Source organism: Homo sapiens, chromosome 2, assembly GCF_000001405.40.
Source record: "Homo sapiens chromosome 2, GRCh38.p14 Primary Assembly".
In the NCBI taxonomy this organism is placed as follows: Eukaryota; Metazoa; Chordata; class Mammalia; order Primates; family Hominidae; genus Homo; species Homo sapiens.
This window is the reverse complement of record NC_000002.12, coordinates 213,097,877-213,110,473: the sequence shown is the minus strand read 5'-3', so window position 1 is coordinate 213,110,473 and position 12,597 is coordinate 213,097,877. Positions and strand designations below refer to the sequence as shown.

The window sequence follows — 12,597 nt, the reverse complement described above, 5'->3', positions numbered from 1 at the left end:
AAAATATATTGCTAAGATTAAAAAAAAGGAAGGGGCAGAAGAAAATAAGTTGGGTAAAAAAAACCCCAGAAATGTTTACTAATAATTATATTTAAAAACTCATAGGATAAACAAGAAGGTAATGAAATAATTAATTGTTTGGGAGTGTATAGATAGAGGGATGACAGCTGAGCAGATGAGGGGCTGGGATGGAACAAGACTCTTCACTAGATATACTTTTATACTTTTTGATTTTTGAACCATTCAAATATCTACCTATTTGACAACATCAAAACAAAAGGAAAAAAACACTAATAATAACAACTAAACCACAGTAAATATTAGTTTTTTTGAGAAAATATTTCTATAGGGTGAGACTGAAAGTGTCAGCCCTTCAACTGTTTGCCAGTGGAACTGTAAGAAACTGGTGTAATCCATTAATTTGCTTCCCCAACACCCAATTTAGATGTAGATTCCTTACACTCAGATCATTTGTTGATGGTTTTATTTATTGTGTATATTTAATAATTTTAATTGCATTTTATATCTTTGTTTCCTACACATTAACTCCATCAAGCAATTAATATTGAACAGTGTAATTAAGTGGTAGTTTTAAAACACCAGTTGTACAAAAATCAAGACCAGTGTTCATTTTAGAATTTACCATTTTTATACAATATGCAACTTTAGAAATGATAATATTATTTAAAATTTCTATAGATATTTTACCTTGCTTATGTTTTTCTTCTTGAAATATAGTATTGCCAAATTGCTGTACTGTAACATCATGATAATAATGGTAGTGTTAGGAATTTATTTTCATTAGTGGTCATAGTACAGTTAATATAAATATATAGCACATAAATATAAATGAGAACACTAAATATCTGTTTGGAAATGGGATTCAAGAGCTGTGTCTTAAGTTTTGGTAGGATTCATTTAATAGCTGTGTGAATTACTTAACCTTTCAGAAAGTTAATTTCTTAATCTGTTAAAAAAAAGTGATACTAATACATGCCTTACAGGGTTGTGGTCAAGGTTGGAGTGAATGTCTTTATAATACCTAGTATAGTATCTTCAATGCAAGCATCTATTATTCCTGTGGTTGTGTTACTTATGATATGTAGCCCTAAAATTGCAAGATGAATATTAACAAGACAATATGCACAGTTTGCCACTACCTGTAAGATTTGATTTATTTGAGTAAAATAAAGGGGAGGTGGATTATAAAATTTTCACTGCTATAATTTTGTGTCTGCTTGCATGTTTTACTTGCTGAGAATTTGGTAGGGTCAAGTGTTAAAATCACTTCTAAAATAAGTCTCCTCAAAGTGATTATTTAATACGGAGAATTAATTACTAATTTGAAATATTTTAAATAGTGGTCAGTTATTTAAAAAATAATATATTAATTGGATAGAATAAAATGGAGCTGTTAAAAACCATGTGCTTTAAGAATGATTATGGCATAGACATTTTTTGAAATACATACATTAAAAAGATTATACAAGTTTATATAGTAGGATCTCAAATATGTAAAGAAAAGCGTGCCATATATAAATAGATGTATATTTCATAGAGGAAAGATGAGATGAATATACACCAAATGTGAATAGTGGTCATTTTTGAGTGTTGGGATTCTTTGTGATTTTTGTTTGATTTATACTTTTATAGATTTTACATTTTTTTTTACAATAAGCATATATTACTTTTATATTAGCAAAAAAAGCAATATGTTGTATTGCTTTTTTATGTTTATGTATTCTTCGAGATTGAATTGTAGGATGAGTAGAACCTAAATATATGTACCTTCTTTTAAAGAAAAGCACTTTAAAGCTATATCAACTTTGTTAGTGGAATTTTATTCCAGAAGAGTAGAAGTTGGCACCTGGAAGCACTCTTGGACCGTTTTCCTATTGAGGAGGGGTTTATTTTGGTAAAGTAACACTACCACTGTAGCCCGATGGCTACTGCAGTGGGATCAGATCTCAGGTCATATCAGTTCAGTAGCTCAGCTTGTAGCTCTGATCTCTCAAACTGTGGGGCACAGTGAGAAGGGTTTTTTAGAAGCTGGCCCCTCTGTCTTTTCATGCACACAAATCTGCTTATTATGACCACAGTTCATTGGGGATGGCAGAAGTAGTACATAAAGCTAATGTAAGCATAATATTTTATATTATGTAAAATATTTACGTCATGTAGAAGAAATTTTTTAAAATTTGTAAAATTTTGTCAGAAAAACTTTTTTTCCTCAATAAAAATCACCTACTTTCCAATGGATAATTCTACATCTTATATAGTCCTTATTTCATTTTTTCACAGGTTATCCTAGTTGACATCAAAGCATGCACCCATTTTGAATATTTCGGGAAATCTCATTAAACACTGAAAAGGATAATGCCTTGTGGGTTGCTCCATAGTAATTTCAATCGTTTTTTTCCCAAGTTTACATTGACCCCATTCTCCTATCAACTCAGTAGGGTTTCACGGCCGTTGTTGCTTCCTTTTGCCTAATTTAGCATCATGCCTGATGGTTTACATTTCACTTAATCATAGCTTTCGAGATGTAGCATACCTCTCTTTGTTCTAGAGATATGAAAACTAACCTACACAGTTAGAACACAGGTAAACTTCAGGTCTTTTGATTTCGAATTCAGCATGCATTGTGTTCTGTCGTGTTCCAGTATTCTTGATAGTTCTCTAAAATGTTGTCAAGAAGGGCCTAAGATCTTTGTGATCTCGCCAAAGAGTTTAGAAGTATGTATGTGTGTTGTTTGTTTTTCCTCCTGCAAGAATTCCTGAGATAAATTATCTAAATTTTCACTGAAAACAAGAATTCCTGAGATAAATTATCTAAATTTTCACTGAAAACTCTAATACATGAAGGTAGTTACACAGTTCCAGCAATGACTGAACTTGAACCATGATTTACATACCTTCCCTATTAAGTGCCAGTCAGGTTCTCGCTACAGATGAGCAAATCTGCTTTTTCCACAGTGAGAAAAACATTTAGAGACAATTCTACAATTAGAATTTTGTGATACTAATGGAAAGTGCGTGTATGTACACGTACTTAAAATGAGCTATACAATTTGTTGGGAGTTCAGTGATCCCTCCTTTAAAAACTACAACTGTGAAGCTATAAGACCTCACAGTGATCATCTCTTTGTTGACATAAATGTGATAAACCTTGCCCAAGAAATATATAATTCTTTGTTTGTCTTGCTAAGCCTTAAAGTTCTCATGGGCAAGGGATGAGAAAGGGTCTTCTGAGGACTATTATTTTTTTTGTCTTGTGTTAACAGCCTGAGTGCTTTGTGATGGTCTTTCACTGTGTGTCTGAGGGAACCCTAAGTGTTGTTTCTGACTCTGAGCAGGCTAATTTGCTCATCATAGACAATGGACCTGTTGACAAACAGGTACATTCTCCTTACCGTGTCCTTCTATATGTGATATAGTTGATTTCTAGGTTTATGATTTTCCCCATTATAATTAATCAGCAGCATGATATATCTGCTGTTTATCATATAATGGCTTTCTTGATGGGTGGCATAAGGAATATTTTAAATTAAAATTAAAATTTTTTTGACTTTTGCTCTGAATTGGAGAGATACTTTTTGGTACCTTTGCTCAAGATTACATATTAATCACATGTTAAATATATGTATTACTTAATGTGTTCATCATAGTACAAAATATGAAGAATAGAGTTATGAGTGAGACTTGAGATGTTTCACTTTTAGATTTTTCAAGTGGCAAGAAACTTTTAGATATTTAGTCTCAGAAATGGAAAACCTACTTAAAAAACATTTTTTTTCTTCTTTTCTTTTCTTTTTTCTTTTTTTTTTTTTTAGACAGGGTTTCCCTCACTCTGTCGCCCAGGTTGGAGTGCAGTGGCACCATGATCATGGCTTATGTGGCAGCCTCGAACTCCTGGGCTCAAGAGATCCTCTCACCTCAGCCTCTGGACTAGCTGGGGCTAGGGACATGCGCCACCACCATGCCTGGCTAATATCTCTCTAGATCCGAGGTCTCACTATGTCTCACAGGCTGGTCTCAAACACTTGGGCTCAAGCGATTCTCCAGCCGCGGCCTCCCAAAGTGTTGGGATTATAGACGTGAACCATTGTGCCTAGCCATTTTTTTTTTTCGTAAGAGTAGTTAGACCAACTCTTCCTTTAAAAAACAGGCGCAAGGATCTCTTAAACAGAAAAATAGATTGGTGCCGTCTTTCCATAATTTTCTTTTCAACCACAAAAGAGATTTTTTTAAAAAAAGATTGATTTTAAAGATATGTAAATACTAATTATTTGGATTATAATTATTGGTCATTATGGTAATGCCTTTTTTAAAAAGAGAAATAGCTAATCATGAAGTCTGACAATTTAAATAAAGACAGTTTAGGTAAATTTATATCTTAAAGTGAAAAATGGAATCACTTAATTTTGTTACTATATTTTAGGTCATAAAAATATACTGATTGAAGAAAACGTTTTCAAACAAATTGTACATTTATCTTTTGCCCAAGAAATCTATTTTTATCTGAGCTAGGTAAAACTTAAGTCAGTGTAAAACAAGTTGTTTGGAAACTCTTAAATCTTTTTGAAAACATTACAGCGAAATAACAAAAGTTTTCCAGAAGAGTCTGGTTAAGCATTGAGCTAGAGCACAGCATTTTCACAAGAGAAGTTTTAAGCATGATGTTACCCTATCAATAGTCGTGGCTGAAGAAGTTCTTTGATTTTTGTTTGTTTGCAGAATTCTGATTTGTAGCATTTGATAATCACAAATTTAAAAAGGATCTTTGCACTTGTGTTTTGATTTTGGTCACAATTTTATAAATTGGTATGTTTCGATGTTTTTGTTAGGAAAAAAATGTAATATACTGACATACCACCCCCCCCTTCCCCCCCCACACACTACACTTCTTTAAATACGCCAGATAAAATCATTTAATCAAGCTTTTTGGGAATGTTTGAGTGTGTCAGAGGTGACGTATTGTGTATAGACAAAGGTAAGAGAAAACCAGTCCAGGAATGAGAACATCATTCCTGCACTGTATGTGCATGTGTGTTTTTCCTTTGCTCTAATGGTATTCCTCCCTTCCCCCAAAACCTCTGGTGTATTTTCACTAATAATGATGTCAGGTTAGGTACTTTTGGGAACAGTTGGAAAGGAAAACAGCAAGGGAGAAGAGGATTGGATCTTCGGGCTATGATTGGGAGGGAAGGCAGTCTAGGGAACTGGTTTCTGTGGGTAGCTCATGAGGGAGAGCTTTGCAGTAGAAGAGGAGTCAAACCTTTTGGGAGGGTCAGGGGAATAAATTGGACATTTCAGGGAGTCCCTGGAATTGAAAGAAGCAGTCAAAGCATTAAGGGAAGTCTTTTTGACACTACTCAAAGGAAGCCAGTGAGGGAAAGCAATGAGCTCCTTTGAGAAAATTCTGGGATAGGAGCATGGGGGCCTGGGAGGGGAGGGAATCTCTGGAGTACCTTTGTTGTTGGCTCCACATAGGTCCCTGGTGTGTGAAAGGATCTAGATAGGTGTAGTTATAAATGGGTTGGCCCTGTAAATCTGTTCATATATGTGAATGTCTTTCTGATTTCCTCTTCTTTTTACATTCTTATCTGAGTATGGGAATGGCTGAAGGCTTTATTGCTATCTGTGTGTTGCATGCTATGTGGATCTTTTAAGGCGTGACCTTATCAAAGTTGGCATCTAAATGCAAAAGAAAATGCAGGGCAAGCTTGTTCTAGTTGGGGTTCCTGTCACCAGACCATAGCAATTTGGAACAATGGATACATTACCTGAATTCACTGGCAGCAAGCAGAGTCCCTGCTTCTATGCGTGCCCTTATCAGTGTTTAAAATAGTGCCTCGTACTCTGCGTACTATCTAGAAGAGAACACCTCCTTCCCATTCTCTTCCTTTCCCTATTCTTTATTAATATTTTGGGGGGAATGCTTTCATTTCAATAGTTAGAAAATGTGGAAAAACAAGATTGCAAGGTTGAGGTGAAAGTAGTACAAGATTGGAAGAATGAAACTCTTTTTTCTTCACTCAGTAAAATGATACTTTTGGCTCAGTGCCTGGGGAACATAGGCGAGTTAGGATGGTGCAGACAGGACTAGCAACAAGTTTGTTAAGGAATGGGCTGAGAACCCCTTGCCTCTGCCCTGTGGTTTACTACAGAATTTGAGTTGTAACTTTTTCTTTTTCTTTTTTTTTTTTTTTGTCCGTTAGAAGCAGTGGTAGAGAGATTACACACTAAGCTTTAAAACCACAGCAAAACAAAACTTTTAAAACACTTGTGCGGTAACCTCAGAAGACAGGTTAACACATTCTGTTTTAACTGTACTATTAATGTGTTTTGCAAGTTTGCAATACCTCTAGACATGGAGGTCTTTTTCCCCCTTACATTTTATGTATACTGCAAATCGAATCCGAGGTGTGTCTTGTGAGCATTAAAATAATGAAAACAAAACACAGTTTTATCCAGGAAATATATAATTCTGAATACTAAAAATCTTTTTAATTGATCATTTATGTAATATATCATCACTTTTATTCAATACATTTCAAAATATACTACTCTTTTTAGCAAATTCAAAGTCCTTTTAACATTTTCTTATAAATCTGATATCACTATATTTGTAACTAAGGAATTTTATGGTGAGATTATTTGAGCTTTATTTCTGTAACAGTTGTTCTAAGTTATAAAAATGAACATCTTTAACACATCTATATAGACTTTAAAATAGCTTATTTGTAATTTAAACTATCTTCAAATATTTTGCTATATTCCTGTTTCCCCTAATTATTCAAAGTTTACAAAACAAACATTTATTGACGATCAGTGATGTCACAGTTTTATTGTAAGAAGACATTTCCTTTCAGAGAATTAACGTAGAAATAAGGAAGGTTAAAGAGATTTCCTATCCTTTCCTTAAAGAAAAAAAGGCTATTTATCACTTGCCATCTTATACTCATTCATTCATTCTCTCATTCACTATACATTCAGTAAGTGCCCACTAAACTTTTATTAAGCCTTTCTTTTCGTTCAGTCTGTTGATTTGATAAATCAGAAGATTATCTTTGATAAGTATTCATATAATACTTTTTATTATCCTTTTGTGATTGTTTATTAAGCTATCTGTCCAAGCTTTGAAGACAGTCTGCAATGGTTCAAATCTAAGCATTGCCATTAGTTGTGATATGTGTGTATACATGTCTGTTGGTCTCTCTATCATCATTTATCACAATTTATCATTGTTTACCCAAAGGAATAACTAGCTACTGACTGAGTGACCTTGTATGAATAAATTAATATCTCTGAGCCTCAGTTGACTTACCTGTACAAAGTGAGAATACTTATATTTTTTAAGATTGTTAGATTAGTTGTATATTTAAGCCCCCTCTACGGTATTTAGAACATGTGAGTAACGTGGTTACTTATTATTGTTTATATTGCCATTATCCTGACCACTATATGGACTTGATCCTCCAGTTATTTCCTTGGGTCCATGCCATCTTACCTCTCTTATTTTTCCATTACTGCTTATCTCACAATATTCGAGAGTAAAAAGGAACCTTTTTACAATGAAAGGCTGCCCATTTCTCACATGTGCTTTCCTCTTGATGCCTTCATGCTTGCTGTTTTGCTTACTGTTGTAGAGCAGCAGAATATTACTGAGGAAGCACTTCTTTTTAAAAAAATTTTCTGGTACAGCTGGAAATATGACAAGAAGAATAGAACAATTGATTATTAGTTAAATCAACATATTATTCTATAAATTCAATAGAATTGAGACCCCCCCCCTTCCTTTAAATGTTATATTTGGTCTTATTAAAATTCATTTTGCTATATGCTGTGGATTTTTATGCATTATTTTTGTTTAATTTCTAATGAAGAGTTATTGAGATTTTATGAGATTGACGTCTTATTTACTTAAAAAATTTCCTATTGCTTGTACATTGGGAGCAAACCAAGAACAGGTGTAAAAACAACCTCCCAACTTGTCTTGGTGAATTGTGAATTGCTCTGGTTTATTCTTGTTTGTATTACATTTAATGGACAAGTCCTGTATGGTACTATACATTTTAATTCAGTTTTGAAAATTATCAATTTGCAAATTTTGTCTTTTTCCACTTTCTTTTTCTATTTCAAGAGCTTATTACCTTTGCTCCAGCTGGATAAAAGTTGGGCAAACAGATACCCTGACAACTGCCAACAGCACCACGCCTTGGTTTTCCCGGGTACAGAAAGTAGTCAATATTTCTGGGACTATGCATCTGTCCCATCTCAAAGATGCCGCTCACAAATTCTAGTTTAAATACAGAATTATTGAAAACATGAAAATCACCACTTCTTTAAAAATATGTATTGTATGTGCTTCTTTCCTGGTTTTACCAAAACAAGTAAAAAAGATCCATGTAGCAGATTTAGGTCTACAGCCTGCAAATTGCTTCCTGTTTGCTTGCATGGTGACAATGTTCTAAGTGCCAGTTTTGAATACTAGTAACCTGTCATGGATCAGTTATCTGAAATGGCAGGTTTATTTGTTATGGGAGGAATGACATTATTTCCTGTCCTTTAGACAGAGCTAAAGTGAGAATAAAGTAGTAAGAAAGAATGTTTCTTTGCACTCTAGGTGTGAGTGTACTATCGTTCGTGCTACTGATTTGATTGCCACAGCTACTATCATTAGCATCTTGGACCAAACATGGAACAAGCTGTACTATATTTCATGTATGATGGAATACAGAGACTGATTAAAAATACTCTTAAGGTGCTGGATTATTCATTTGATAGCTGATTGTTATAAGACGTTAGGGTCGTACTTTCCTTTGTGGACATAAACATTTTTAATAATTGCTTTTTAAAATTAAATTTAATTTGGAGCCTAGGTAAGGATTTCCTTCATTTGAACTAATTTTTTTTTTGTAATCTCAGAATTATCTTAATAGTAGGTAGTGTCAGTTGCCAGAAAAACATCAATGTGAAGGAAATTTGTATATCATAATTCTTTCCTAGTGTTTTCTTTAGGCAGACTACAGTGAACGTATCTATTCTAATTCTCATTCCTTTTCTGGATAACCATAGGTAAAGGTACTTTTAATTTGACCTCTGAAAGAAGAAAAAGTTTTTCCAGGTTGGAGAAATAATGAGTAATGCTGGTTAGAGACTGCCTCTCATCTTCTTCTCAAATCTTAGTCACTACCTATTCTAGTGTTTAAATAACTAATGAAAACATTTTTATGGTTTCTGAGATTTTTTTTAAAGCAGGCTTGAAAGATATGAAGTAATTTACTGATAAACCAAATTTTAACATTATAGACATAAGAATGTTGTCTGTCCATCTCATTTTGTTTCATTGTAATATTTTTCCTCATAGGTATAGGGAAAATAGGTGATTTTGTTTAGTCAACAAAGGGTTGTCTCTTCTCTCTCTCTCTCTTTCTTTCTCTCTCTCTTTCTACCATGGCAGCCCAAGTAGGGTTCAACCGTGTAGGTAGGATCTGTATTATTAATTTTCATTATGCCAAAACTGACAAAACATTACGTTGAAATCATAAAGCACTAGAAAAGCAAATACCTAGAAAGTATTATCTGTTCTGTAAGAAAAACAACAAGCTAAACATTTTAATATATTATTGAGTTTGTTGGATTTATAATATTGGGACTTCTCTTTATACAAGTACCTGGCCTTTAAAAAGAAATACTACCTAGAGTAGCCACAGGTACTGTTAATGTTGCCAAGTATTCCTAAGTATATTGTAGTTAGATTAGTGTGAGGAACTTCCTTAAAAAATTTAAGTGTAAACCTGTAAGGTTACTCTTATTGGTTGTTTTTCATAGTTTATTTAGTGACTATTGCACGGTAATGCTTTGTATTAGATCAACATTAAGTTAGAATTCAGTGGCTGTATTAAATAGCCTTTTAAGACAGTATGTTAAATACGTGGCTTTCACCAAGGGGCCCCTATGGTATTTTGGCAATTTTACTATTTTTTAAAATTCATACCTAGTTTGAATTGAGATTCATGTAAGTGAAACACCATTAATAAGGATTTTTAGTTTTAAATTTTAGTTTGTTTTATTATAAAATAGTCAATATCTATCATTCTTAAAATCAAGTATTCTTTATAGTAGTCCTACTTAATATGCAGTCTGTAGGCTGGAAAGCATTTGTTACCAGTCTGCCTTGAAATTAAATATAGAAGTTGAGTAAATGCTTAAAACTGTCACCAAAGTTTGATAGAGTAATAAAAATAGGGGGCTTGTATTTTGTTTTTGTCAAATTTGACTTGATTATACAAATGTGATGAATTAGAAATTTAAAAAACCAATTGGTCCTTCCCACAGAAGGATATTTCATTTGAGAAATATCACTTTAGATGACATTAGAAGAGTTATCCATGTGCTTAGTGTCAGTTAGCTTAAATGCCATACATTAAAATATAAACATATCAAAAACCCACTTATATTAGTAACTTATGTGGATAACCATATGATTTTTATAAAGTAATCTCAAATGAAAATGAAAGCCAATTCTTTAATGAATCTAAAGCAGTAGAGCCTTTACTCATATACCTAGTAATAACTATCATTAAGTGCTTACAATGTGCAATAGGGTGTCTTTTATCTTATTTAATCCTCTAAAAGCACAACGGGATAGGTTCCTTATTACCCTCATTTTAGAGATGCCGAGCTAAGGGTCAGAGAGGTTAAAAATGTGCTGATGGTCACTGAGCTAACTAAAAAAGCTAACATTAAAACATGCTTTTGTTCATAATATGATTACACATCTTGTGCTTCACGTTTTTTCTTTTAAATGAGGAGGTAATAACATGTACTGGGTAAAGAATGTTGTTTTGTGCTTGTAGGTAAAGCTGTGTACCATGCTGTATATGAGGAATTATTTAGAGCTAGAAGAGGAAAGCTCAAGCATGCAAATCTTCAGTGCTGAGTTGGTATAGGGAGTAAGATGAGGCTTCATCACGTACGTTGCTCTTGATCTCAGAGTCTGTTACTACAAATTGTTGATGATCACAAAAATTTAAGGACATCATGTTCAAGTTACACTTGATACAGCTTATAAGAAAGAATCCCTTTTCAAAAAAAGCAGATGAGATGTGATTTTTAAATGGCATCTCTCTACTCTTCATATGTACATAGATACTCAACTTTCAGGAATCATGTATATAATATTGGCATCTTACAGTAATATTTACAATATTTGTTTCCTTCAATCTCTTCAGTTATCTTTATAAAAGAAAGGAGGATGGGGGGAGGAGGCTGACTTTTGTCATGTAGCTTCCTCAACTAAAGCCTTCAGATCTTCATCAGTATATGAATAAACTCAGTTTACTAGATGCTTCCCTTCTGTAAAATTCTGTAAATCAACTAGCTAATATTTAATTGAATTTTTATCTTGTTTTCTTCATTTGGTCCATTTGATTGCTGATCATTGATGTTCATCTGCCTAATAACCTTTGCACAGTGTTTAAGGATTGAGGATAAAAACTATCAAGGGCAAGATTAGAAGAGGTGACTGACTCCCTGATTCTCTGCTGCCCTTGAAGGCACTGGATAATGGAGAAACAAGTGCCTGCATGTGTTGGATTTTGTTAGTTGGATCTAGCTCCAGCAGAATGACAACTGAGGTCACGTCAGCACCTTGGAAGGCCGGGAAGCTGGAACTGGAGCAGCTGAGCCAATCCCCAGACAAACAGGTTTTAACCGGGACAGAGTGAGAGAATGCTTTGCTTTGGAAACTGTCTGCCCATCACCTAAGGCGGTGATTCTATTCCTATATATTTTTTTTCCTGCTGTCTGTTCATTTTTGTATAGAAAAGATTAGTTATGAGGACTTCTTTCTCTTTATATATGGCAAAAAGTAATTGCAAAGTAGTTATGTTAGACTTTGAGATTTTTTTGTTTTCTTCAGATTCAGAAGCAAAGAAAATGTTACTTTTGAAATTAAGATGGTGTGATGGAAGGACCATTTATGGCATTAGTAAGGGTGATCATTTGTTGATTACCATCATTTTGTGTAAGGTTGAATGCCAATTAAATGTCATGGGTGCCTCAATATGTTTAAATATCTTCATATTATATAATGTACATTCAAACCTCTTTTGATTCCAGGAGGAGATTTTCTTGTAAGTCCTAAAATTGGAAACTTGGATTCTAGTCTCATTTTGCGAGTTGCTCTACTCTGTAATTTATTTCTTCTCAATATGTAGAATGGTGGTTCTCAACTTTGGCTGCACATTAGAATCATCTGGATATGTTTAAAAAATACTGGTATTTTTACCCCATCCCATACCAATTTAATAAAAATAGGGGTAGGGCTCAGGCATTGATAATGATTTATTAATTTCCCCAGATAATTCTGATGCACAGTGAAGGTCTAGAGCCATGGATATAGAATGATATCACTGACCTAACTTCTGTGACTTTTTTGAGATTGATTAATTCATGTTAACTGTTTTAATCACTCTTGTAAAAAAAGCTTTCTCTAATTTATAGGGTCTTTTTCAAAAATATAGAATTAGAAGTGTCCTTTGATATACTTCTGTTCCTTGCCAGATTACATTCAACCATTAATTTAAG

The 12,597-nt window shown here is 33.6% G+C and overlaps 1 protein-coding gene across 30 annotated transcripts in view; it reads left to right on the top strand.

Annotated features, from left to right (window-relative positions):
* Nucleotides 1–12,597, top strand: part of IKZF2 (IKAROS family zinc finger 2) — a 152,759-nt gene that overhangs the window by 41,983 nt on the left and 98,179 nt on the right. The window contains exon 3 of one of the 30 annotated variants that reach the window (XM_011510818.4): nucleotides 1–12,597. This exon is cut by the window's left edge and continues 37,342 nt beyond it. The exons of the other annotated variants lie outside the window; for them this stretch is intronic. The gene's annotated coding sequence lies outside the window, so the exon portion shown is untranslated. 30 annotated transcript variants of the gene reach the window in all.